Genomic DNA, 27,353 nt, shown 5'->3' with positions numbered 1-27,353 from the left:
CTGCATCGATCAAGATGATCAAACATGATATTCTCTTTATTCTATCACTGTGGTGAACTACATTAGTTGACTTCTGAATAGCAAACCAAGGTTGCACTGATGGAAAAATCCAACTTCATGTTATATTGTACTATTTAGATTTTGCTATATTTGGGTTACTAATATTTTGCTTAAAATTTTTCATCTAAGTTTGAGAAATTTGCCTGTAATTTCCCATTCTTGTAAAGCTCTTGTCAGGTTTTGGAAACATGTTTATGTTGACCTTATTAACTAGTTTGATGGTGTTTTCTTATGTTCCCAAGATGATGTTGCAAAAGTTTTCTGTTATTTCTTCCTTATATTTGGTCCATTTTATAAGTAAAACTTTGAGTTCATAGAGATTTGAAAAAAAATAGCTTAAATAGGCTGGGTGTGGAGGCTCATGCCTGTAATCTCAGCACTTTGGGAGGCCGAGGCAGGTGGATCACCTAAGGCCAGGAGTTCGAGACCAGCCTGGCCAACATGGTAAAACCCCGTATCTACTAAAAATACAAAAAAAAAAAAAATTAGCCAGGCATGGTGGCAGGTGCCTGTAATCCCAGCTACTCAGGAGGCGGAGGCAGGAGAATTGCTTGAGTGGGGGAGGCAGAGGCTGCAGTGAGCCAAGATCACGCCACTGCACTCCAGCCTGGGAAACAAGAACAAAAAAAAACTTTGTCTTAAAAAAATTAGTTTAAATAATTTAATAGATACATAAATATTAAAATATTCTATTTCTTTGTAGTCAGTTTTAGTAAGTTTTATGTTTTGTAGAAGTGTTTGTTTCATCTAAATTTTCATATCAATTTTAAAAAGTTGTTTATAATTTTCCCTGTGCCTTTTTGATATCTATTGGATCTACAGTGATTATACCTTTTTCTTTTCCAAAATTAGCAATTTGTGCCTTCTCACCTTTATTCTTTAGTTTTGCTAAGAGTTTAATGATTATCTTATTTTGGGGATATTAGCTTTGCTTTCATTGATTTTCTTTGCATATTTGTATTTTTAAATTTTAATTTCATAACTTTTATCTTCTTATTGTTAGTTGCTCCTTCCTACTTTATTTGGTATTAATTTGTTGTTCTTTTCCTTTGATTTTTAAATATTCATATTCAGATGACTAGATAGGTATGTAGGTAAATGCAAAACTGAATTCTGGTCTTTTTTTGTATGGAGTGTTCTCTATGTGTCATTTAGATTGTTTGTTAATCATATTCAAATCTTCTGTATCTACATATATATATCTCTATTTAGACGTCTAAACAGTTGTTTCAAGTATCTATTTCTATAGCTAAATATAGACATGAATATCTAAGCATAAATATCTAGATATAGGCATGTATCTAGATATGGATCCAGATGGATGGGCATACGTCTCTTTCTAAGCACAGAATTAGCTGCATTCCACGCATTTGTACCTTGTATTTGTATTACTATTTAATTCAACATATTTCTGTTTCATTGTCAATGTCATGTTTTTCTTTTATTCATGGCTATTTAGAAGTGCATTGCTTACATCCCAAATATTTAGCATTTCCTGGTCACCTTCCTGTCCATACTCAAAATTATGTCAATTCTTTGAGAAATTCTGGACTTGCTTTCTGTCCCAGCTGAAGTCAGTGTTTGTAGACGAGCCGGGTACACTCGAAAACTGTGAGTACGTCATTGCTACAGGCAGCCTTCTGTGTATCCCACTCAGGCCAAATGTGTTGACCTTGTTGAAATCCTCTGTATTCTTATTTGTTCACTTATTTATTCATTATTGAAATAACTATGTTAAATCTTCCACTATGACTTCTGCCTTATGTATTTGATCCTTTTATTGGTGAATGTTGCTTTATTTTTGCGAAACTATATTATTAGACACTAGCAATTGAATATTTTTACCACAGCCTTGTGGGTTAACTCTTTCACCATTATGGAAACAATCCCTTTGTATTCCTAATAAATGTTCTTGCCCTAAACCCTACTTCGTCTGTGTTCTGCTCTACCAGCTTTCTCAGTTACTATTGTGAGAGAGGTAACTTACCCCATCATTTTACCTTTAACGTTTCATATTTAATGTGTGTTTTTTTGTAAAGATTATACATTTAGGTTTTACTTTGTTTTGGTTTTTATCCAGCCTGATAATGTTGGCATTTTGATTGCTGCTTTTAGTTCTTCTACATTAAAAGTAATTGCTGACATGTTTGATTTTGTGTCTACTTTTTTTTTATTTTTTCCACACATTCTATTTCCTTTTTAACTAGTCTCTTGACGTCTTTTGAATTAAATATATTTCATCATTCTTCTTTCCCCTCTCTAGCTTTTTCCCTATACTTTTAATTTAATTTCATTATTTACTTCTTAGAGTCAAATTTAAATTAATACCTTAACAGCTCCAAGAAAATGTTAGACCCTTGTAGCCCTTTAATTGCATGCAACCTCCTTCTGCCTCATGTTTTGTTATTTATGTATCTTGATGACATATATATGGTGTTAAATAACATAGCCAAAATGAGGATTACAATAATAGAAGATTACTAGTTCTAATCGTTATTACAACACTAACAACGCAGAATAACCAATTAGTATATGTCAAGTACAGTTCTAAATATTTTACATCAATTATTTTATTTCCTTCTTGCAGCCAACCTATGGTATAAATACTATTATTCCCCCAATTTACATACAAAATAAATGAGGCACAGAGAGGTTAAGACATTTTCTTCAGGTCACACAGTTGGCAGAGCAGGGATTTGGAATGAGGCCATCTGGCCTGACTCCAGGTTCTCATGCCCTGGCTCTGCTGCCTCCCTTGAGCCCCAAAGGCTGAAAACTCATGATGTGCTGAAGATTCCAATTTTGAAATACGGTCTTGGGTATACTGGGAAGTTCATGGAACCAATTTTCTAACCAAGATGATACCTCTATATAGTCCTGCTTTAAGTCCGAAAATATAAAATGCAAACATTTACTAAACACGTTTATGTGCAATCATAGTTTTCAAATAGAGAGTTTAATGACAGCAAAACTTATTTCTAATCCCTGTCCTTACTGCATTGACCCTCAACAGAAAGACTTCCCTCACAACTTTGACCTGTACTTTTAATTGCAGTTGTCCTTAAGTAGGACATGCTAAGGAAGGAAGAGCATTCCAGGTGTTGTCTTGGTCTGGACAGTCAGAGACAGCCCTCTGAAGGTGGCGACGCTGCCAGGGAGCCCTGGGTGGGAGGTGAAGAGTGTTCCAAGCCATCGGTTGAACTGGCCTATGCGAGGGATATAAGGCTGGAAGGACCTGGCCCATTTGGGAAAGGAAGGAAGGTCAGCTAATTGCTGGCGCCGCATCCAGAGGAAATCATGGAGCGAAATGGAGGAAAATTTAGCGTGGCCAGGTCAGACAGGACATTCCAGGGCAGGCTACAAATCTGAGATTTAACTGAGGAATAAAGGGAAGCTCTTAAGGGATTATAAGACAAGAATAGCATGATTTGAATTGTTGAATTCCATTTTTAAAAAGATCTTCCTGGCTGTATTATAGAAAATACCTTAAGGAGACCCAGAGGTGAAGTGGCCCGAGAGTTGGTTGCTGCAGTGAGGAGTCAGGGTGGCTTAGAGTAAGGTGTTGGCAGTGGTGATGGAGAGAAGAACCGTGGAAGAAAAGATTTGGGAAGGAAATATTGATCGTGTTGAGTAATTGAATATGAGCTTTAAGGGGAGGTTCGTATGAAAAACGCTCTCCAGTTTTTGGCATAAGCAACTGGGAAGCGGGGGGGATATTTCTCCAGGAAGGTGAGCCTGGGTTTAAAAGGAAAGTCTCTGAGATAAGTTTGTGACAGATTGAGTTGATGCTACTTGGGAGGCATCCAAGTGGAATTTTCTACTAGGCAGCTGCAAACACCTGTTTGGAGCTCATGGGAGAGACCTGAGCCAAACACAGACATTCAGGAGTCGGCAGTATGAAGACTGTACTTTAAGCCGTGGGAAATGATGAACTATCTCCGCGAGTTAGAAGCGGATGCAGGAGCGCCAAGATACCAGCAACCTGAGAAGATCAAACTCGTCCTTTCATCTTGGGTCAATGGCTATAGCCGCTAATCAGCATCACCTCTGAGTATCTTCCTGCTATTTTTTTTTCTTGGTACTTCTTGGGGATGAAGGACTAGGGCACATTATTTTATCCATTCTTCTGTAACTCCACAGTGACCCTTTCCTGGAACATTCCAGCATCCAATTTGTCTCCCGAACTGAAAGTTTTCACAGCCATCTGCTCATGTTCACCCCATGGTCCCTGGATTTATACCCCAAATCCAGACACCCTTTTCCTTTACAAGAACTTCTGTGTTAGGCTCCTAAAAAGCTCGCCACTTCCAACCTTCTCCTTCATACCTTGCCGCCAGAATTCTCATCCTTAGATCAAAACAAGCCACTCCTTCCTCTGCTCCAACACTTCCGTTGCCAACTACTTACTGCCTAGAGGAAAAGCCCGCAGGGTCTGTTACCTTCCTGCACCCTCCTCCTCCTCCAGTCCGTCTTCCTTTTTTCTCATTCAACAATTACCATCTGCCACATCAGCACAGCAGGGTTCCACCTACACATCTGGCTCTTTTGTGCCTCTGAGTCTTTGCCTCATTTGTTCCTATGCTTGAAATGCTCTTCCTGACTTTTTCAGACCTAATGCCAAGTGCTCAGCACATGTCTAAATTCTACCGTCCCCGCCACTGGGTCCACAGGAAGAACACATTTCACACTCAGGGCATCCAAGTGGGGCCTTGTGATCACCTTTGACCAACAGGACAGAAATAATATGAGTCTTTCATGGCCTGCCTTACAACAAAGCTCCACGTCCATCCTCCTCCCTCTGCCCCTTCCATGGCAACCCTGGAGGCTGTGTGTTGAGACTAGCTCCATCCCAGGAGGACAGAAGGAGCCCCAGTCCCTGAATAGCTGCATAGAGGACTGTCCACTGCCTTTACCCACAAACTACTTAGAGGTATGATATAAGCGGATCCATTCTTTTTTGTGCCAAGCATCTAAGAGTTTATTACTTGTCACCACAGCACAGCATCCCCACCCTGAACAATGTACCTATTTTCTTCACCTCTCAAACCTCCATTCACCCTGCAGGTGCCAAGGAGTCACATTGCTCTTTGAGCAAACCTCCCAGCTCACCCGGTTTCTCTTCCTTGCGTCTTTTTGCTCATGGAGTCTTTTAAAATAGCCTTTGGGCCGACATATTGTCTCAAGACTATAATCCCAGCACTTCGGGAGGCCGAGGCAGGCGGGTCACGTGAAGACAGGAGTTCTAGACCAGCCTAGCCAACATGGTGAAACTCTGTCTCTACTAAAGATACAAAAAAAAAAAAAATTTAGCCAGGCATGGTGGGTCGTGCCTGAATCACTTGAATCCGGGAGGCAGAGGTTGCAGTGAGCCAAGATCACACAACTGCACTCCAGCCTGGGCGACAGAGTAAGACTCTGTCTCAAAAAAGCAAACAAACAAAATAGCCTCAAACCCACTGTTTAACTCTTTATGTCTATCTCTTCTTATAGGACGCAAAACCCCGAATGGCAGGGAAGTGTCTTCAGCTCCTTACCTGCAGATCCTCAGTGCTCAACTCACTTCTCTCCACAGAGCAGCTGCTGCGGCCTGCAGAGGTGCTAGGGAAGGGGATATCTGTGGTTTGATTTGCCGAAAAGCCTCCTGCCCCTGATTCTCTGCTTTGGTGCTGTTATGGAAGCAGGAGCCCAGGAGAGTCAGAGTGACACCATTTTAAGTTCAGCTCCATCTTGTACCCTTTTTTTTTTTTGTTTTTTTTTGAGATGGAGTTTTGCTCCTGTTGCCCAGACTGGAGTGCAATAGCATGATCTCGGCTCACTGCAACCTCCGCCTCCCGGGTTCAAGCTATTCTCCTACCTCAGCCTCCCAGGTAGCTGGGATTACAGGCACCCGCCACCACATTCGGCTAATTTTGGTATTGTTAGAAGAGACGGGGTTTCACCACGTTGGCCAGGCTGGTCTTGAACTCCTGACCTCAGGTGATCCACCTGCCTTGGCTTCCCAAAGTGCTGGGATTGCAGGTGTGAGCCACCGCACCTGGCCTTCCATCTTGAAACTCGCCAAGGCACATTCCTGGTCAGTCACCACCCATGGTCCTTAGATGTTTACAGCTAAGGAAGCAGCTTGCTAATGCCTACAAGGACAAACCCCTCCAACAACAGAAAACCCAGATGTCCCAATACCCATAACGATATACGCTTTCAAGATAATTACGGTAACACTTTGATGTACTTACACACTAGAATGTCAAGGATAGTTTTCTTTACATTAATAAACTACTAAATTTTGTCATGCTGCCTGCCCATCCACATATAGGACAGCTTAGTTTAGTCTTTACATAGACAAGACTCCTACATAAGGAAACCTTCAGACAAAGATGGTGCATTCCTCTTCTTTCTTTCCATGGATGACCTCCTCTGTAATGGAATAGTTTTTAATAAACCATCTCTTCTCACTGTACTCCACAACTCACCTTGAATTCCTTTGTGTGCAAGATCCAAGAACCCTCTCTTAGGGTTGGGATCCGATCCCTTTTCTGGTAACAGTGCCTCTGCCAGGACTGTGAATTTCACTGTGTCACCTCCCTACTCAATGGTCCATAGAAGCATGCAGGGGACCCATGCTGGCCGTCATAACACCATATTCCTCCTAGACACGTGACCAAAGCAGCTCACAGGAAGCCTCCTCTAGTCTCATGACACACTGGAGAAACAGGTGTGTTTTTCCCTGCTCGTGAGCTGTACCATGCTACCCCAGTGCTGTCGGAGTCCCTGTCCCCAGCAAAAGGAGGAGTCAAAGAATTGGGCTTGATCCCATAGAGAAGCAAAGATGATGATGGTGAGACAGTCCCAATATCACAGTTTTAATCTTACAACGCCTGCTGTCTCCTCCAGGTATCTAAGAAAATGCTTCCTTCCCTTCCCCATGCCCTGTGATTAAGGTCAACAGGAAACTACAACAACCCAATCCAGGCAGGATGGCAAATGGCGCAGAAGCAATGAAGGTTTGCATCACTCCACCAGGTTAAAAGAAAAAAAAACACGACCTGCTGAAGTGCTTGCTGAAGGCAAAGGGAATACAGAATGGGTAGTAGAAAAAAGCAGTCATTAATACCACATGACCAGCTGCAGAAACGACAACTGTAATTATCATGAGTATTTCTTCCTTATTTTAAGAACGTATTTGTTCGTGTATACACTTATACTAAGAAAATATGTTTTTATTTTTTCCTTTATCACATAAGATTTACTGACTTCATATCAGCATTTAAGTGTCGTTAACTTTATGTAATAGCACTTAGGTTAAGAATTAGTATGTTTCCGTTGTACAAAGGATAGCTGTATAATGTTAGCTGTAATTATGAATTTATTATTGTCTTTATTTGAAGATTATGTATGATTTCAGGAGCTGTGTATGGGTTCAAGGTGACAAGGGGTGGACTTCTGATGGCTAATACTGAGCATCAACTTGATTGAAGGATGGAAAGTGTTGTTCCTGGGTGTGTCTGTGGGGGTGTTAGATTAACATTTGAGTCAGTGGACTGGGAGAGGCAGACCCACCCTCAATGTGAGTGGGCACCATCTACTCAGCTGCCAGCGCGGCTACGATAAAAGCAGGCAGAGGAACATGGAAGGACTAGACTGGCTGAATCTTCCGGCCTTCATCTTTCTCCCATGCTGGATGCTTCCTGCCCTGGAACATCAGACTCCAAGTTCTTCAGCTTTTGGACTCTTACACCTACAGCAGTGGTTTGCCAGGGGCTCTCAGGCCTTTGGCTACAGATTGAAGGCTGCACTGTCGAATTCCCTACTTTTGAGGTTCCGGGACTTGAACTGGCTTCCTTGCTCCTCAGCCAAGCAGATGGCCTATTGTGGAACTTCACCTTATGATGGTGTTAGTCAATGCCCCTTAATAAAGTCCCCTTCATATACACATCTATCTTATTAGTCCTGTCCCTCTGGAGAACGCTAATACACCTCGGATGAAAAGACACGAGAAATAACATATGCCTCATTTTACCACACAGAGAAATCCTTCAATTCTCAAATATTCAACTGGTATCTTCAGTTTTTCTGTGATTGATAATGATTATTGGGCATCTAATGTGTGCAAAACATGAAACATATTTTGTGTTGGATCATTTTATTTCTCCTGGCATTCACATTAAGACTGTCTATAGAAGTGCGTGTGTGTGTTTGTGTGTATCTTGTGTTTGTATTTTTTAGGCAGCATCAACCCTTTATAAAAGTGTTTTGAGAGGCCAGGCGCAGTGGTTCACGCCTGTAATCCCAGCACTTTGGGAGGCCGAGGCAGGTGGATCATGAGGTCAAGATATTGAGACCATACTGGCCAATGTGGTGAAACCCTGTCTTTACTAAAAATACAAAAATGAGCTGGACATGGTGGTGCGTGCCTGTAGTCCCAGCTACTCAGGAGGCTAAGGCAGGAAAATCACTTGAACCTGGGAGGCGGAGGTTGCAGTGAGCCGAGATCATGCCACTGCATTCCAACCTTGTGACAGAGTGAGACTCTTATCTCAAAAAAAAAAGTGATTTGAGATTTCTCATAAATGTACACATAATAGCACATACTAAAATTAACAAATGAGAAAAAGCACAGCACTTGCTCAGTATGTCCAGTCCCCTGTATCCTCTGCAGTTGTTAGGCTGTGTTTCAGTAAATCATATTAAAGACATATTTACAAAATGTACAATGTGCACAGCATAAAAATTCAACTATTGAATCCAAGTATAGTGTTTAGAAATTTCAGACTTCTTTTGTTCAAGCCCCACCAGAATTCCTCACTGTTTTATTTCACTCTTTAGCGTTGTGACTGAAACAGATCCAGAATTTGCTCGTTTCTGTACAAGTCCTAGGGACTACTAAAGTTTCCAAAGAGTAATGATGCATTTCTGTCCATTTCAAAGGAGTTTGAGTCATGCAAAGGCTTCACGTTGAGCTAAGGAATATAATTGGAATGAGGAAGTTACCCAGATGTGTGAAATGTATTTATGAAATTTCCACAAATGACTGGTAAAAAAATAAAATTTGTCTAATTTAAGCAAGCATTTGTTTATTCTAAGTGTACAATGGTTCCAACAATATTAAATAATTCCCAAATTGCCTCTGTGCATTTTGGAGGACCATCTGACTGGTTAGAAAGGCCCATTTTCACCATGCCAACTCCAAGTGCCATCAACCACTCATCTAGTAAAAGCCATTATTCTAGAATATGTCAGCACCATACTTTCTTAGTAAACATCTGTTGTGGAAATTTACCCATGTAATTCTTCAGGTTAAAAAAAAGTGTTTTCTCTCAATAAAGATGAGAAAAAGTATAATAAACATACCAAAATTGGTGATTTGTTTTGACATTTTTAAGAGTCTACTACAACAAGCCTGAAAAAGAAAAATAAAAAGGCAGGAGTCTCTCTGTCCACTTCACCACAATTATTTTATCTTTGTGAAAACAAAAACACCATGAAAAACTGCATTATGTAAAAATAGGCTTTCTCCAGGCAGCTTCCTCACTCATAATCACAGAGAATGTATCAAGCCGGCTGAGATAAACCTCCAGCCAGGTAACTGCACGCTTTCCAATTAAAGTCCATGAATATAAAATGATTCCAAATAGAAATCCTCAAATATGCTCATAATCTCATGGCTTTCTAGGTGTTACTTTATTACAAAAAGGCAAACAACATTTTTTGTTTTGCCTAAGAAGACTAATAAAATAACGACATCATAGAAATTAAAACCAGGGGGACCTTAATGAGTTCTTTACCCAGATGGAACCCTGTGGTTCACCAAGTCTTCGAATGTTCTGAAATGCCATGCAACATGGTGGGAAGTTTGTATCAGGTTCTCCATGTCAAAAAATAATTCTTTGAACTCTTTAAAAAGTATTAAATCTATTAAGTGATTCAGTAGAAACTGAGTATTCACTTGCAGATAGCTAATAATTGCTACAATTATTGAATGTGTCCTATTCACCACACACTATTCTACGGAAAGTTTTATGTGTGCACTTTGCTGGGCCACGGTGCCCAGTTCTTTGGTCAAATACCAGTCCTGGTGTTATGGTAAAGGCACTTCTCAGATGTGCTGAGTGCTTAAATCAGTAGCTTTTGAGTAACGTGATTACTGTCCATCGTATAGGTGGGCCTCATCCAATCAGTTGGAGTTAAAAGCAAAGACTGAGATTTCCTGAAGAAAGGGAAATTCTGCTTCAAGACTGCAATATAGGAAGCCTGCCTGAGTTTTCAGCCTGCAGATTTCAAACTCAACACCCTAACATCAACTCTTCTTCAAATTTCCAGCCTGCCCAACAGATTCTAAACTTGCCACCCCACAATCCTGTCAGCTAATTTTTTTTTTTTTGAGACAGGATCTCACTCTGCCACCCAGTAGCATGACCATGGCCCAGTGCAGCTTCAAGCTTCTGAGCTCAGGTGATTCTCCCACTTCAGCCTCCTAAGTAGCTGGGACTACAGGTGTGTGCCACCTGCCCGGTTATTCTTTTGTGTTTTTTGTAGAGACAGGGTTTTGCTGTGTTGGCCAGGCTTGTCTGGAACTCCTGAGCTCAAGCAATCCACCTGCTTTGGCCTCCAAAAGTGCTGGGATTAGAGGCATGAGCCGCCATGCCCAGCCAAGCCAATTTCTTAAAATAAATTTCTCTCTATATGTAGATAGACCTCTCACTACATAGATAGAGCAAGAGGTTTTTCTGGAGAACCCTGACTGATACACATATATTAACTCATTCGTATATGAAACAGCCCTATAAAGGTAGAGGGGTAGCGATGGGCTCAGGCCCTGCCATCTGGAGCTCACAGCACAGACAGTGGGGGTGAATACAGGCCTGACAATGAATAACGCACATGCCAGTGATGACCAGAGTCCAGTGGGAGAGGGAAGGTCCTCTGGAGGGGTTGCCATCTCTCAGGGCTGCCCAGAGGGTCTTTGTGAGAGCAGCAGAGTGGCTGAGGGCTCCGAGCAGAGGACTGCTGCAGGAAGGAATCTGCAAGCCAGAATTTCCACGTGGTAGAAAAAGACCAGCTCAGACCAGAGCAGGAGGGGACAGCTGGAGGAGAGCCCTGTGCTACTGGTTACCAAGCTGCACTTCAAGGGCAAGGGCCCCAGAGCAGGACAGGCCCAGGCCCTAAGGCTGAGCTGAGATGCAGCTGTAGTGTGACCTCAGAGAAAAGACTTGACCTCTCCAATCCTGTTTCCACCTTCTACAAAAGGCTGTGATAGTCCTTGAAGGAGTTTGACCACCTCAGGGATGTGGCGTGCGTCCAGTCATGTTGGGCTGGGCAGGTTGATGGTCATGTTACATCTGCAAATTCTCAGAGCAGGAGCCATTTCCTCAAGTCCATTCAACAGAGTCCTAGCTCTGCTGCTGAAATGGTCACCTGTGTGATATTCCCAGAGGCTCCTGGCTGCGCTCAAGGAACTAAGTAGGGAGGAAGTTGGATCCCATCTTCAGCTGGAAGCCCTCTACCCCGCTGCTAATTCTCGGCCGGGTTTCTGGGCAGAAGGAGGAAAGCAGGGAGTTGAAAGGCTCACGCCCCAGCTTGTGCCACCACATACAAGAGGTCTCTCTTCTTATTTAGAAAATGAGAAGAATAGCTGCCCTGACCCCTCCTGGGGCCAGGGGACACTCAAATGTGGCAGTCACTGTGAAAAGGCTTTGTAATCTCTAAAGTGCTGTTCGCAGGTCAGGGAGGATGTGTGTGTGTCTATGTATCCCAAGAGAAAGTTACTTTCTGAGATTTACAGCTTCCAAATATAAATGCTGCTATGAGAGCCTTTTAAGTTCCTATGAATCACAATTAATGGGAACAGAGAAAAGCAAAGAAAATTGATTCTGGTTAGGAAACAAAAGGTGGTTGCAGTAAGTAACCCACTAGCTTATTAAACGTAGGAGGGAAGCAATGGTGAGGAGGGAGGAAGAGGAAAAAGAGCTTTCTTCTTCAGAGGAGGGCTGGAAGGAAGGGAAAACTGCATTGCTCTATTTGGACATGGATATTGAATCGTAGTCAGCAGAGCAGGAGCTGAAAAAAGGCATTTGCGCATTCCTCGGAGGTTTTGCTACCTGCCCAGCACAGGTGCTGTGAGAGAGCGCGCTTGTGTCTGGACTCACATATACATGCCACACACAGAGGTCCATGTGGGAAGAAAGTAGAGACTGGGCAGGGGCAGGTGAGATGCCGGGGCTCTGCAGCATCAGGCAGGAGTTGCCAAGACATAGCTGCACATTGAGTTTGCAGTTGCAAAAGCATCCCCTGGCCCAGCCCCACTTCCCACAGGAGCCTTGTTGGATCACTTGGGTATCTGGGATGGGTCCTGGCCATCCTTCTAGCCCTTCGGCAGAGCTTGGCTGCAGAGAGTGAGCTTAGAGAATGGTGTGGCTCTCAAGGAGCAGGGGGTTGCCTGCTAAGGACTAGCCCCATTCAACTCAAAGACCTTCATGGAGGGTTTGTCAGGCTCCAAGCAAGGCTCGCTGTGGGGTACGGACATGAGCTGGCCCTGGCCCTACCTGCAGCCAGGAGGCACTGGGCTGGGTGAGGAGCTTTGGAGGATTTGGGCTCTGGAGGCAGCTGCTTGCGTTACTGCTACTGCACCCTGATGACCAGCATGAGTGAGCATTCCGTAGATAATTGTTCCATGAGCGACTTGGAGGAGGAGGAACAGACCCAGTGAGGAATGATGGGGAGAGGGTTCCACACAGCCAGAATAGGGAGTGTGGGGCGAGAAGGCCACAGATCCAAGGACATCTCGGGAGCTAGCAGCAGTTTGTCCTGATAAGGCACAGCTGAGGGGTGGAGCGAGGTGGGTGCAGAGCTGGTCAGCCCATAGAGGCCCCCAGTGCCCTGCCAGGGGCTCAATGGCCCCAGCCACCTTGGAGAAGGTCAGCTGTGGAGAATCTCAAGCATCAGTCTCCACCTCAGGATGGGCTTTGCAGACTGGAAAACCACCCCGGCCTCTCTGGACTCCAGCAGGTCCTGAGCATACCCAGGAGTTCTGCCACGGAGGCATCCCCCGGAGCTGGGTGGGGAGGAAGCTGAGGAGCCCTGAGGTGCCCAGCCTCCTGCCCCACACTGGCTTCCCCCGGACCTGCCCCTCCACACCCACTGCTCTGCCAGGCCCATCCCTGATGCCCCCAGCTCCCCTCCCTCCGGGACTGACTGAACTCAGCCTCTCCCTGCAGGGCTTTGTAACAAGGTTGAAAACAGCTGGAGCAAATTCACCCCAAAGGTCACACTCAGAAGGGAGGACCAGCGACCTCAATCCTCAAAGGATTTCCACAAGTGTTAAATACATAAACAGGCGCCAAGTGTGCAATGCCCAGCTCACAGAAAGCCTCTGAAACCTCCCAAGCAAAGCTGAGCCACCACATCAACACAGAACCTCAGAACCCTGAGGTCTGAGACTCATTCTTCTGAGAAGGCGAATGCCAGGCAATCTGCAGACAGTGACGGCCAGCTGGCTGAGAAGCGCTGCTTCGTACGCATTTGTCACTTACGGGTTTTTCATGCATGGAGTGAGCCACACGGGCCCACCTCCCACCCCACTCACTAGCCTGCTACATTTTCTCCAGGTGCTGGGAGGTGGCGGCTGCCCCAGTAGAGACGGCACCTTGGCAGATGCCCAGGCTGATGGCAGCTTTGGAGCAGCCACCCTGGTTTCCTTCCAGAACCACCACTTGTTAGCTGTGGGGTCTTGGACAAATTATTAATCTCCCTGAGCCTCAGCTGCTCCAACTATGAAATGGAATGATACTAATTTACCCACCTGGGATGGTGGCATTAAATAAGGCATAATAACCTCATAACACTGTGTCAGGCACGCAAATAGACTTATCGAGTCTGAGAGGTTATTATTTTACTATAAATAATGATGACAGTAAAATAATATTGATGACAGCAACTAAGACTCAGAGAAGTTCCATTCCTAGACCAAAATTGAACCTTGTAGGTGGTGAAGCCGGGGCTTGAACTGGAATCCCTCCGAGCCCAAAACTTCAGTGGTTTCTGCTGGACTCTGCTGTTTCCCAAAGTGCCGGGGTAACAAAGCAGGGGTGGGCACAGCTGAGTTCCCACGACATTCACTGAACCGTCCATGCATGTGGCATCAAAGAGGGAGTGGACAATGCTTCAGTTCTCACTTTAGGGCCTATGTCCCCACCTGGGAAGGCCTTCCCTCAGGAGAGAGGCCTGGTCACTCTTGCTTCAGGGCAAGGGGCCAAGAACTCACGGCTTCCAGCTGTCAGATTTTCCTAACAAAGGGAGTGTTCCCTTTAAGAACAGCAACAACAAAGCAAGGTCTCACAACAGAGCATCTCCTGAAAGTGATGAAACCACAATGAAGAGATAAGGAGGGTTCAATCTAATCTCACCTGAGAGGCTATCCGTCTGCAGTGCATCTTTGTCAGGGCTGCTGGCAATGAAGATAGCATCGAAATCTCATAGAACAATATCAGGGGGAGACAGGTAGACTCTGTCGCCCAAGGGTTTACATGATGGCGAAACCTTTGATTTACTGAAAAAGAGCAGGAAAATAACTCAGTGTTCAGAGGCAGTCTTTCAAGGGGGAAAATAGACTGTGTCTGAATAACAATTGTACTCCTCACCCAGTACATTTAAAAATACTTTTCACACTGGGACGCTGAACAATACTACCTGTGCTCTCTGAAAACAAGGGCTCAGAAGTCAGAAGCATCAGGCCCCCTCCTGCCTACAAGATTGTGCTCAGAACAACCCAACCCTCCAGCCACTCAGATCGAGGCCTCCCTGTCTGGAATGCCCCACTGTGTGAACAAGGGACACAGAATAAAAACCAACATGAAGTAACACCATCCTCCAGCATGGAGGAGTTTGCTCTAGTGGGAACTTGGTACAAATGTGCGTGTAACCCATACTAAAATGGGACGGGTCCTCTCCCAGAATGGCGGCCAAGAACTCAGAGTGTTACGTCCTCCACCTTGCATTCAGAGGTACCAGCCAACCATGAAAACGTGCTGAGAAGCGGTTCTCAACACACCTGCATCCATTATCCATCTCCAGGCTAGAGAACTCAGGATGATGGGCCATGTAAGAGATTAAAAGGAGAGATTCATTTAGAGGGAACTGTAGGAAGCTTGTATTTCTAGCACACCGACCACACGGAGGAGGAGGAACGTGTCTTCTGCCAACTTAAGCCAAGTGATGGATTTTGGAGAAGGAGTAGAGAAGGAAGAGGTATGTCCAGGGAGAAGTCACCCTGAGGTCTAGATGGAAAAAGACTAATGAGAGTTCCAGGTCCATACAAATGTTTGGGGAATACTGGAGAGACAAAGAAAGAAAGAGAGAAAGAGAGAGAGGGAGAAGGCGCCACCTGGAGCTGTGCAGAGAGATATTTTTGGAGCCAAACACACCTGGATGTCATCTTGGCCCCTTCACCTGAAACTGGTGTGTCCACAGATAAGTTACTTCCTCTCTTTCCCTCAGTTTACTCCAAAGAGAAATGAATAATACCTAAATTGAAGCAACTGAGACACTGTGGCAAGGATGATTGTATTTGTCTGTTCTCACACTGCTATAAAGAATACTACCTAAGACTTAAGACTGGGTAATCATAAAGGAAAGAGGTTTAATCGACTCACAGTTCCACAGGCTTAACAAGAGGCATGGCTGGGAGGCCTCAGGGAACTTACAATCATGGTGGAAGGCAAAGGGGAAGCAGGCACCTCCCTCGCAAGGCTGCGGGAGGGAGGGTGTTTGAGAATGAGGAAAAACTGCCGCTCTTAAAACAATCAGATCTTTTGAGACTCACTATCACAAGAATAGCATGGGAAACCATCCCCATAACCCAATCACCTCCCATCAGGTTCCTGCCTTGACACATGGGGATTACAGTTCAAGATGAGATTTGGGTGGGGACACAGAGCCAAACCATATCGATGACCTATCAAATATGGAAATATCTACCAAGGGGACTGGAACACAGCAGATGATCTGGAAACTTTCCTTCTCCCCTCTCTGGTGAGGCTGCATTTAGGAGCTGAGGGGTGAAATTAAAGCGCCCCAGGTTCTCCAGATCCATCCTGCCCACACTGCCTGACTTGCTTCCTGACGCTCTTGCTCGAAGTTTGTGCGTGGTCCCCAGGGCCTCCCTGACCACAGGCCAGAGCCTCGCCTGCCCTGCTCAGCGCCACTCACGGACCCAACCTCCTTGCATCCTTGTTCTCTTGTTTTACCTGAATTTCTAGAAATCTAATTCAATTTTCACTCTCCAGTTACTTTTTTTTTCCTAAATGCAACCTAAGTGTGACTCATACCAGCAATAAATTGAGCTCATATTACACAGAGATTTACCCCTCAATTTATCCTCCTGACTCACCCAGAATTAAAAGGCAGAGGTCAGAGACCACCCTAACTCCAGCAGGGAAAGGGACTCAGCCATCTCTCCTTGGAGTTGTGATGTAGCTGCCAGGACAGAGCCCGGGAGAAGGAGAGCATGGCTCAGCACCTCCCTGCTGCTGCTGGGGCCTGACTGGAGGATAAGCCAAGCAAATTTCAGTGAAATCACTCTTATTCTGAGACGAGACTGGGATCCTATATGAGGCAAACTGCCAAGTGGTTGGAAGCGCCCGGGGGTGTGTCATCCTTAGTCCTGCACCTTCATGCATGTACCCAGCACCGTCCTGCTCAGCAAACCAGGCCAGCAGGTTGCTCATCTCGCTCTCCAGGGAGAGTGTTCAGCGGGGTGTGTTAGGATGAGAACGCTGGTGTATTTTTATTGGGTACAAATGGAATATTCCACTTTCTCTGGTGCCATGAGGGAGTAGCAGGTATGAATGTTTTTCTCACAAAACCTCAAAAGCTGACCTCCTGGCCCACCTGTAGTACCTGGTTTCAAATGACTGCAGTGGGGGCTGGGGGTCAGCTGATGGGGTGGACGCTACCTCTCATTTCTGAGACGGAGCTACTGAGAACAGAGATGGTGAGCAAGAGGTCCAGGTGGCCACAGGCTTCCCTGCCTGTCTCCACCTAGGCTATCCCTGTGCTCCCAGGCAGGACCACAGGCAAACTCCAGTTTAGTGTCCCTTGTCCCCAGCTGTCAAACTGAAGGGCTGGCCAAGAGGTCCGAATTGATTTGAACCGAATTGATTTGAACCCAGCCGCACCCCCTGCAAATCCCCCTCATACCTAACTGTCCAGATGATGGTGCCACAGCCTGGATGGATTTTAACAGGCCCATCTGGCTCCCAGTCTTCATTGTCCAACTTTGCAGCCAGGTCTTACGCGAAACCAGGCCCCCACACCCCTGTCCTTTTGCAACGTGACTGTGCTCCAACTTGGAGTTCCCTCACCACATCTGTCTACCCAGAAGACCCCTTTTCATCCCCTGAGACCCAGGGTAGATTGGGTGTGGGCAGCAGCAATGTATTGTCAAATGGAAATGGTGCATGAGAGACGGCGTCCAGGCATGTCTGTAAGGTACATGTAAGGTGAGCAGGTGTCTCCAACTCACCAGGCACTGCCTCCCCCGACCCCAGGAGCCATGCCTACGGCTTCTCAAGGTGTCTCTTACACCAACTGAGGAAGAACCAACTTCAGCTGAACATACTGATGGAGCTGCATGATCTCCTGCTACCCCTGAAAGTGGACAGCTGGAGCACAATTGCCCGACTCAGGGTGACCCTGGAGCACAGTGGGGAAGGAAAATTATTTCAGTGAGCAGAGCTCCGAGCAGTATTTAGGTTTAGAGTGAGAGCTGGCTAGAAGCACAGACCCACACTGATGTGTGTGCATTTGCTAATGGTTTGGAAAGAGCAAGACTGGAAGATTGCTGGCTATGAAGAGGTTTGTGGATAGACCTCTCAGAATGGAAACAGACTGTGAAAATATGTGTGTCCCATGTGAATGAATGCCCCCAAAAAACAACCACCTGGAAGAAATTCTTAATACTCAGGTGGACAAGATAACATATTCTGTGGATACAAGGCTGCCACCTTCCCCAGTCATCCCTGTCATCGTCCAATGGGCTCCTAAACACCGTGGCCATGGTGGCAGGGATGGAGGCTGTGCCTGCACTTGGCATGGACTTCCCTCATCAAGTCTGGCCTGGCTCACGTCACTTCTGGGTGCCCAATCTGCCAGCAGCAGAGACCAACATTGAGCCCCCATGTGGCACCATTCCCCGCGGGGAGCAGCTGGCCATCTGGAGGCAGGTTGATGACACTGGACTTCTTCCATCACGGACAAGACAGAGATGCATCCTCACAGAAAGAAACACCTGTGGTGGCTACGGCTGCGCCTTCCCACCCTGTGATGCCTCCACCATCACCAACATCCTGGGCTCGCAGAATGCATTCTCCACCAACACAGCCCTCCTGTCAGTGCAGCCTCTGGCCAGGGAACTCATTCCACAGCAAAGGAGGACAGCAAAGAGCTCCTACCCAGGGAATTAGCTGATCTCACCGCATACCCCATCACCCAGAAGCAGATGGCCTATTCATGAGGTGAACAAGCACTCTGAAGACTCAATGACAGCACAGAAGGACAGAATACCCCCAAAGGATGGGTTAAGTCTTACAGGGTGCATTAGATGCTTGGAATCAGAGACTACTGTGTGGGGCTTTCTCTGCCTTTAGCCAGAAAACGTGGGTCTGGGGGTCAAGGAGTGAAAGTAGGAGAGGCTTCTCTCTCTATTACACGGAATCATCTGCAGTTATATTGAACAAACTTATTTACCTACAAGTTCACTGATGCTTGATATTGTCAATAAAAAATTGCAGAGTTGTTGAGCTAAAATATTTCATTTGTATATTAATTCTCATGTCCATGGCTATTCATAATAGTGATCTTTTATGTTATTCATGATTGTTTTCTATTTCTTCGAGAGAAAATTACCTGGCCAAAGGCTTTGTGCATTCCCAAGGGGGGAGGCCTATTCCTTATTAGTTAAAAGGTACTGTGCTTTTTACATCGCATGGAATAATCATTTTCTCACAGTTTGAAACCTTCTTTAAATTTTGTTTATGTTGTGTTTTATTATCAAAGTACTTTATTTTTGTTTCAATTAGGTCAAATATCTCTGTATTTCTTATTTCCTCATGGCTTCCAAATTCTCCACCTTGTTTTGGAAAAGATTTTAGATACCAAGTGATTATCATAAATTCATATTTTCTTCTAATAGTTTATGATTTAATATTTAGCATTTACTGTTCAATGTCACCTATTACGATATTAGCCTTTCTTATATGGTTAGATATTTGTTCCAATATCACTTACTTAACAGTCTATTTCATCATGAATTTGAAATGCCTCTCTTAAACACTTACTATAAACTGAAATCTTATGTTTACATCAATGTGTTTTCCCCCTCATTTATTCAATTTATTATTTGTTTTAGCACCAACAGCATGCTGATTTAATTACTTCAACACCATACTACAATTTCATATCTTGTGGACAACTCTTCCCTTGTTTTGCTTTTTCAAAACAAAAAAAATTATTTTATATATTCTTCTTTTTGCAAATTTTCTTCCACACAAACTTTAAAATTAGTTTGTCAAGTGGCACAAAAATTTCACCGAATTCTTTTCTTTTTTTGAGATGGAGTTTTGCTCTTGTTGCCCAGGCTGGAGTGCAATGGTGCGATCTCAGCTCACCACAACCTCCGCCTCCCGGGTTCCAGCAATTCTCCTGCCTCAGCCTCCCAAATAGCTGGGATTATAGGCATGAGCCACCACATCTGGCTAATTTTGTATTTTTAGTAAAGACGGGGTTTCTCCAGGTAGGTCAGGCTGGTCTCGAACTCCCGACCTCAGGTGATCCTCCCGCCTCAGCCTCCCAAAGTGCCGGGATTACAGGCGTGAGCCACCGTGCCCGGCCAGATTCTTTAGGGTCAGTTCATTGATTCTATAGATTACATGATGGAGCATGTGCCCACTTGAAATAGGATGATAAGGGAAGACCATTTAATAGGAACACAGGGGCTATCTTCTCTAAGGAGGTGAAATTCGAGCAGAGACAGAAAGTACATGAGCTGGTGACTCAGGAAGAAGAACTCTTCTTGACAAAGAAAAAAACGTGAAATGGTTTTAAAGAGGGAATGTGTTGGGGTCTTTGAGAAACTGCAAGTTGGTCAGGGATTCAGAAGTGAAAGCAAACTGGGCAGGAATAGAAAGAGCTGAGGTCAGAGAGGCAATGGGCAAGACCCTAGATCCCAACTGGGCAGGAATAGAAAGAGCTGAGATCAGAAAGGCAATGGGCAAGACCCTGGATCCCAACTGGGCAGGAACAGAAAGAGCTGAGATCAGAAAGGCAATGGGCAAGACCCTGGATCCCAACTGGGCAGGAATAGAAAGAGCTGAGATCAGAAAGGCAATGGGCAAGACCCTGGATCCCAACTGGGCAGGAATAGAAAGAGCTGAGATCAGAAAGGCAATGGGCAAGACCCTGGATCCCAACTGGGCAGGAATAGAAAGAGCTGAGATCAGAAAGGCAATGGGCAAGACCCTAGATCCCAACTGGGCAGGAATAGAAAGAGCTGAGATCAGAAAGGCAATGGGCAAGACCCTGGATCCCAACTGGGCAGGAATAGAAAGAGCTGAGATCAGAAAGGCAATGGGCAAGACCCTGGATCCCAACTGGGCAGGAATAGAAAGAGCTGAGATCAGAAAGGCAATGGGCAAGACCCTGGATCCCTGTACACACCTAGCAAGGACTCTGATGTTTTTTTCTAGATGTGATGGGAAGGGTTTGGAGAATTCTGAGCATGCAAAAGACATGCCTTGATTTTTATATTCTTAAGAATCATTGTGACTTCACTATGAAATACAGAGCATAGGGGGTGAGAATGAAAACAGGGAGATGAGGCAGGAGGCTCTTGCCCTAGCCCAGGAGAGAGTGGATTATATCTTAGACCAGCATGGAATCTTGAGAAGATGAGCTATGTATTAAAGGTAAGGCCAACAGGATCTGATGATGGATTTGGTGTGTTGTCACAGAAGAGGAGAGGTGTGAGAAAGGCTCCAAGGATCATGGCCGGAGTGACCAGCGAAGAGAGAAGAGAACCCACTTGTTACCTGGAAATACCGGGAAAGGAGCAAGTTTTGGAGTGTGGGTGAAGGGCAGTCAAGAAGTCTGTCTTGAATGTCAAGTAGAAATCAGGTCACTCCTCGACTCAGAGTCTTCCAGTGGCATCCCATCTCTCTCATGACAAAGGCAACATCCTCACAGTGACCCAGATTCCTGAATGACCTCCTCTCCTACCCCTCTTCTCTTCTCTTGCTCTACTCCAGGTACACTGGCTGTATTTGTCCAGCTGCTGATAAAGACATACCTCAGACTGGGCAATTTATGAAAGAGGTTTAATAGACTCACAGTTCCACGTGGCTGGGGAGACCTCACAATCATGGTGGAAGGTAAAAGGCACATCTCACATGGCATCAGGCAAGAGAAGAGAACTTGTGCAGGGAAACTTCCCTTTACAAAACCATCAAATCTCCTGAGATTTATTCACCATTATGAGAGCAGCATGGGAAAGACCCACCCCTGTGATTCAATTACCTCCCACCAGGTCCCTCCCACAACACATGGGAATTGTGGGAGCTACAATTCAAGATGAGATTTGGGTGGGGACACAGCCAAACCATATCACTGGCCCTCAAGGCCACTGGAGCATGCCATGAAGTCTGCTGCCTCGGGGTCTTTGTATCTTCTATCCAGAATGCTCTTCTGCATTTCACACCTCTATGCCCTCTCCCCTAGACCTTCTCAGGCATCCCATCTAAAAGCATAACCCTCTTTCTATCAATTCTCTCTGTTTTCCTTACTTTATTTTATTTAATTTTTTTTTTTTGAGACAGAGTATTGCTCTGTCCACCCAGGCTGGAGTGCAGTGGTGTGATCTCGGCTCACTGCAAGCTCCGCCTCCCTGGGATAAAGTGATTCTCCTGCCTCAGCCTCCCAAGTAGCTGGGACTACAGGCACGGGCCACCATGCCTGGCTAATTTTTGTATTTTTAGTAGAGATGGGGTTTCACCATATTGGCCAAGCTGGTCTTGAACTCCTGACCTTGTTATCTGCCTGCCTTGGCCTCCCAAAGTGCTGGGATTACAAGCATGAGCCACTGCACCCTGCCTTCCTTACTTTATTTTTTCCTTAGCAGGCATCACTACCTAATATACCACACATGATTTTAACCAAAAATATATCATTTTTAATAGTCCGGTTGGTTCTCCACTGGAGGGGAAGGTCCATGCAGGCAGGATTTTCTTTTTATCTGTGTCATACTCAATCCCTAGTGAGTCAAAGAAGACCTGGCACATAATAGGGGTTACATAAACATCTGTGGAATGGAAGAAAGAGAGAATAATTTACGAAATAAGTAGTGCTATTAAACAGGCATTGTACCTGCACAGGAGTCTAGAATTTAAGGAAGAAACTTGTGACTCGTGTATAAGGAAATGTTTTAAAAAAATATTCACCATTTATCCAGCCCTCTTACTGATCTCTTTTCTTATGGACATGAATGTCAGATGTGTTGTTATTTTTATTTTCTTTCCCTTTGAATTAGACAAACATATCACCTTCAAAAAAAGAAAAGACAATTTGTTTCTTCCTTATTATATATTTTTTTTCTTGTCTGATTGCATTGGGCAGGACATTCAGAAAAATGTTGAATAGCAACATATAAGTTGCCTACATACACCATTTTCCATTAAACATTTTAAATTGCCACATTTTATAGGTTGTATACTGTGATATCTTGTTTTAAAAAAACAAAACCATTGTATTTTTTTTTTTTTTTGAGACGGAATCTCGCTGTGTCACCCAGGCTGGAGTGCAGTGGCATGATCTCAGCTTACTGCAACCTCTGCCTCTCAGGTTCAAGCAATTCTCCTGCCCCAGCCTCCCCAGTAGCTGGGACTACAGGCACGCGCCACCACACCTGGCTAATTTTTGTATTTTTAGTAGGGACGGGGTTTCACCATATTGGCAGACTGGTCTCAAACTCCTGACCTTGTGATCCACCCACCTCAGCCTCCCAAAGTGCTGGGATTACAGACATAGAGCCACCACACCTGGCCGCCATTGTATTTTTATACCACACAGTGAACTTAGAAAGTTTGTTGTTATCATTATGACCGTTATTATTGTTTCTAAACTCAGAGCAACGTGGCCAAAGGATATTTTTCCATAACCATTTACTGATTTATAATGTCACTTTGGAAAATATCTTAGTATTCTTGGTGGTTGTGGACTTACATTTCCAGCAGATGACAGTAAAAAATAAATAAATAAATAAATAAATAAATAAATAAATAAATAAATAAATAAAATTGCACCTGCTTTGAGGCATTTGAATTCAGATTTTCCCTGTGTAACTTATGTGCTGTTAAAAATGTTTGTTATTCTAAAATTTCCAATCAATTCTAAATGTAAAAACTTCTGCTAATAGGGAACTGACAGGTATTTTATGAATGTATAAGTCTTCCTTTTGGTACATTTTTTCTTATCTTGAACCAAAATCTTCTTGCATTTGATTTCCATTCCTCTGGAGCTTTTGTGCACTCTATCAAATCCCTGCCTTTCCAAACTCCACCCAATTGTTTCTTAGCTCTTGGGTAACCTCCTCCAGTTCTTCATGGTTCCTAGACTTCTGTTTAAACAGATGTTTATTCATTCTGGCTAGAAGAGGTAAAGTTGTCGACTCTACTCTGTAATCCAGCCCTGTTCTATCCCATAGGCATGTTGATTTCCAATATTTCTGGAAACAAATTCCACAGATAGCCAAGTAAGTGTAAAACAGCAGCAGTGAGTGGGGGTGGGGCGGGGGGAAACAGAGGAAGACAAAAGAAAAATTAAAGGAGAAAAGCAGCAAGCATAGAGAAGAGACAAAATGAGGATGAAGAAGCAGAGGAAGAAAAAGAGGACAAGGACAAGAAGGGTGTGCTGGGGTGTTCCTTTATATACATGTTTATACCTTTACAAAAGGAGCATCAGTGGCAGATTCTTGTTTCCCGACACTAATGTTAGAAAACTCAGCAGAGGCAGAGTCTCCCGTGGTGCTGCTCCCCATGAGGACAGGACCCGGAAGCAATCAGAACAGCCCACTTGGAGCTGGGGAGGAAAGCCAGGGTCTTTCCTTCACTGTGGAGAAAATAATGGCATTTGCATTTTAAAGAAAGCTTCTTTCAAAGACATTGGATCACTTTCAAGTGAGAAACCACTGATTCTACCTAAAACATTGAGAAAAACAGGATATTTATTTTTGGACTTCTTCCACGGGTTCCTGGAGCAATGAGGGAAGGCAGCATAGGTGGAAGCAGAGTGAGTGCATTGGTGGTTTGGGAGAACAGAGCAGTTCTCCTCCCACCACAAATAATCACCAGAGGGAGGTGATGGGAGGATAGAAGAGGGCCAAGTCCTCTCACTCTATTTTGCTGTTTGAAATATTGAGATTTCTATTGAGAGTGGGGACAGGTTGGTGGTTTGTGGTTGGCCATGGTTTCAAAGGAAAATTTATAATAAAAATTGAAAAAAAAAAGTAGGCTTGGCATGGATAAATTATATCAGACTATCCACATTTCTTTTTTCAAATTTCTGAGGGAAAATTTACATGCAATGAAATGCACAGATCTTGACTGTACCATTCGATAAACTTTTACATATACACACCTATCAAGAATTAGAACCTTTTTATCATTCAGAAAGTTACATCATTCAGAAAGCACCCCTCCAGTCACTTTCTGTTGGAAAAAAAAAAAAAAAAGCCTAATTCTGTAAAACTCTATAAAATATTCTGAGGCAAATGTAAGGACTACGACTTATGACACAGCCTCAGCAGGTCCTGATAACGTGTACCAAGGTGTCTGGGTTATATCTTAATTTTATACATTTTAGGGAGACAAGTTACAGGCAAAAACATAATCACTACATGTAAGGTTTACATTCGTCTGACCCAGAAAGACAGCACATCTCAAATTAAGGGGCTTCCAGGTCATAGGTGAATTCAAAAATGTCCTAACTGGCAATTGGTTGAAAAAGTTAAGCTTCCCTAAAGTGTTGGAGTCAGCAGAAAGAAATTTGAGGGTTAAGATAAGAGGGGTTGTGGAAGCCAAAGTTCTTGTTATGTAGATGAAGGCTCTGGGTGGCAGGCTTCAGAGAGAATAGATAGTAGATATCTCTTATCAGAACTTAAAAGTATCAGACTCTGATTTAAATCTCTCCTGGATTAGGAGAAAACATGGAAAGGGAAGCAGATTCTCTAAAGAATGTAGATTTTCCCCACAAGAGACAGCTTTGCAGGGCCATTTCAAAATATGTCACAGAAATATATTTTGGGATAAAATACTTTTATTTCCTTTAGGACCTGTTATCTGTCATGTGGTACTTACCAGAGTCAGGTTGGAGTTGGTATCTTACTACTACAAAGAGTCTGTATTGTCAGTCTTAGAATCTTGATTTTAATGTCAATGCTGGTCAGTTCTGTCTCAAGGTCAAAAGGGAGAGGGGGGTGTGATGGCTCATGCCTGTAATCTCAGCACTTTGGAAGGCCAATGTGGGCAGATCACCTGAGGTCAGGAGTTCAAGACTAGCCTGGCCAACATGGCAAAACCCTGTCTCTAATAAAAATACAAACATTAGCCAGGCATGGTGGCGGGCACCTGTAATCCCAGCTACTCAGGAGGCTGAGGCAGAAGAATCACTTGAACCCAAGAGATGAAGGTTGTAGTGAGCCGAGATCATGCCATTGTCATGCATGGGTGACAGAGCAAGACTCTGTCTCAAAAAAAAAAAAGGGAGAGGGTATAATGAGGTATGTCCTACCCCTGCTCCTTGCCATCTTAGCCTGAACTGGATTTCAGGTTTCTTTGTAATCTCCTTGGCCAAGAGGGGGTCCATTTAGTCTGTTGGGGGGCTTGGAATTTCATTTTTGGTTTACACTCCCTACCTCCATAGGCAATCATCATTTACATCTCCAGCAACACTGATTTGCTTTGCCCATTCTTGAACTCTGTATAAATGTAATCACAGAGTATGTGCTCTGTGGGTTGGCTTCTTTCACATATCATAATGTTTTTAAGATTTATCCACCTTATTCCAATAAAAAAAAATTATTATTTTTATTCCTGAGTAGTATACTATTGTATTAATATTCTACAAACTATAAGTTCATCTCCAGTTGATGAACATTTAAATTTGTTTACAATTTGGAGCCACTATAAATAAAGCTAGTATGGCATTCATTTACAAATTTTCTGAGAAAGTATGTTTTTATTCCTCTTGGAGCAGGAATTACCAGATCATAGGATAGGTATACATTAAAATTTATAGGAAACTGATCAATACCTATCCAAAATCATATACTTTTTTCTCTTCCACCAGCAACATATGGAGATTCTCATTAATCTACATTCTTACCAATATTTGATGCCATTAATCTTTAATATAATCATCTCTCTGGATGAGAGGTAGTATTGATTGTGGTTTTAACTTGTATTTCTTTAATTACTGAAGTTCTTAACCCCTTTCTTGTGCTTATTGCCCACAAATCTTTCATGAAGTAGCTATTTAAATCATTTATCATTTATTCTATGGTTGCTGGACCTGTAACTGACTTATGGGCTATTCCCATGTAATCTCTAAAACAAGTCATTTGTCTTGGGACAAATGTTTGTACTGTATTGCCATATTGTATTGGCAATATTTTACCTGAGTCTGTGGCTTGCCTTTCCATTTTCTTAATAGTATCTTTTGATGAAAAGAAGCTTTTACTTTTGAGGAAGCTCAAATTGTCCATTTATTTTCTTTTATGGTTATTGCTTTTTGTATCCTGCTAAGAAACATTTCCCTATTCCAAAATTGCAATTAGATTCCTTGGTTTTCTTCTAAAACCTTTGCAGTTATAGATTTTACATGTAAGACTATAGTCTCAATTTCAGTGAATGGTGTAAAATAAGGGTTGATTTTTTTCCTAAATTGATATTTAATTGTCAGATTACTATTTGTTTAAACATACTTTTTTTCTCCATTGAATTACCTTGACATCTTTGTCAAAAATTAATTAATTTTATATTGTACGAGTTGATCTGGACTCTGTATTATTTTCCATTGATTTATGTAATTTGCATACTAATATGAATTTTAGTATCAAATTATTACTAACAAAAAATGAGTTTTAACTTTGAATAAAATTGTATTTAATATATGTATCAGTTTGGAGAGAATTGACATTGATAATATTGATTCCCCAAATCTATGAACATGGTATATCTCTCCATTTATGTAACTCT

The 27,353-nt window shown here is 43.5% G+C and overlaps 1 long non-coding RNA gene across 1 annotated transcript in view, besides 2 other annotated features; it reads right to left on the bottom strand.

The window, feature by feature from the left end:
* EPIC1 (epigenetically induced MYC interacting lncRNA 1) overlaps window positions 1-27,353 on the bottom strand; it is a 223,927-nt gene that overhangs the window by 102,565 nt on the left and 94,009 nt on the right. The window contains exon 8 of the long non-coding RNA NR_122046.1: window positions 14,460-14,602. This is a non-coding gene — a long non-coding RNA (epigenetically induced MYC interacting lncRNA 1). The remainder of the gene's footprint in view (window positions 1-14,459; window positions 14,603-27,353) is intronic.
* Window positions 12,851-13,460: an enhancer, noted in NCBI's record as "H3K4me1 hESC enhancer chr22:48135325-48135934 (GRCh37/hg19 assembly coordinates)". NCBI's record gives its function as "activates a minimal SCP1, AML or CMV promoter by ChIP-STARR-seq in naive H9 embryonic stem cells {active_cell/tissue: H9 hESC(naive)}" and the evidence as "EXISTENCE:reporter gene assay evidence [ECO:0000049][PMID:30033119]".
* Window positions 24,903-25,434: an enhancer, noted in NCBI's record as "NANOG hESC enhancer chr22:48123351-48123882 (GRCh37/hg19 assembly coordinates)". NCBI's record gives its function as "activates a minimal SCP1, AML or CMV promoter by ChIP-STARR-seq in naive H9 embryonic stem cells {active_cell/tissue: H9 hESC(naive)}" and the evidence as "EXISTENCE:reporter gene assay evidence [ECO:0000049][PMID:30033119]".

The sequence above is a fragment of the Homo sapiens genome, chromosome 22, assembly GCF_000001405.40.
Source record: "Homo sapiens chromosome 22, GRCh38.p14 Primary Assembly".
Classification (NCBI taxonomy): domain Eukaryota; kingdom Metazoa; phylum Chordata; class Mammalia; order Primates; family Hominidae; genus Homo; species Homo sapiens.
This window is presented reverse-complemented; position numbering and strand designations above follow the sequence as displayed.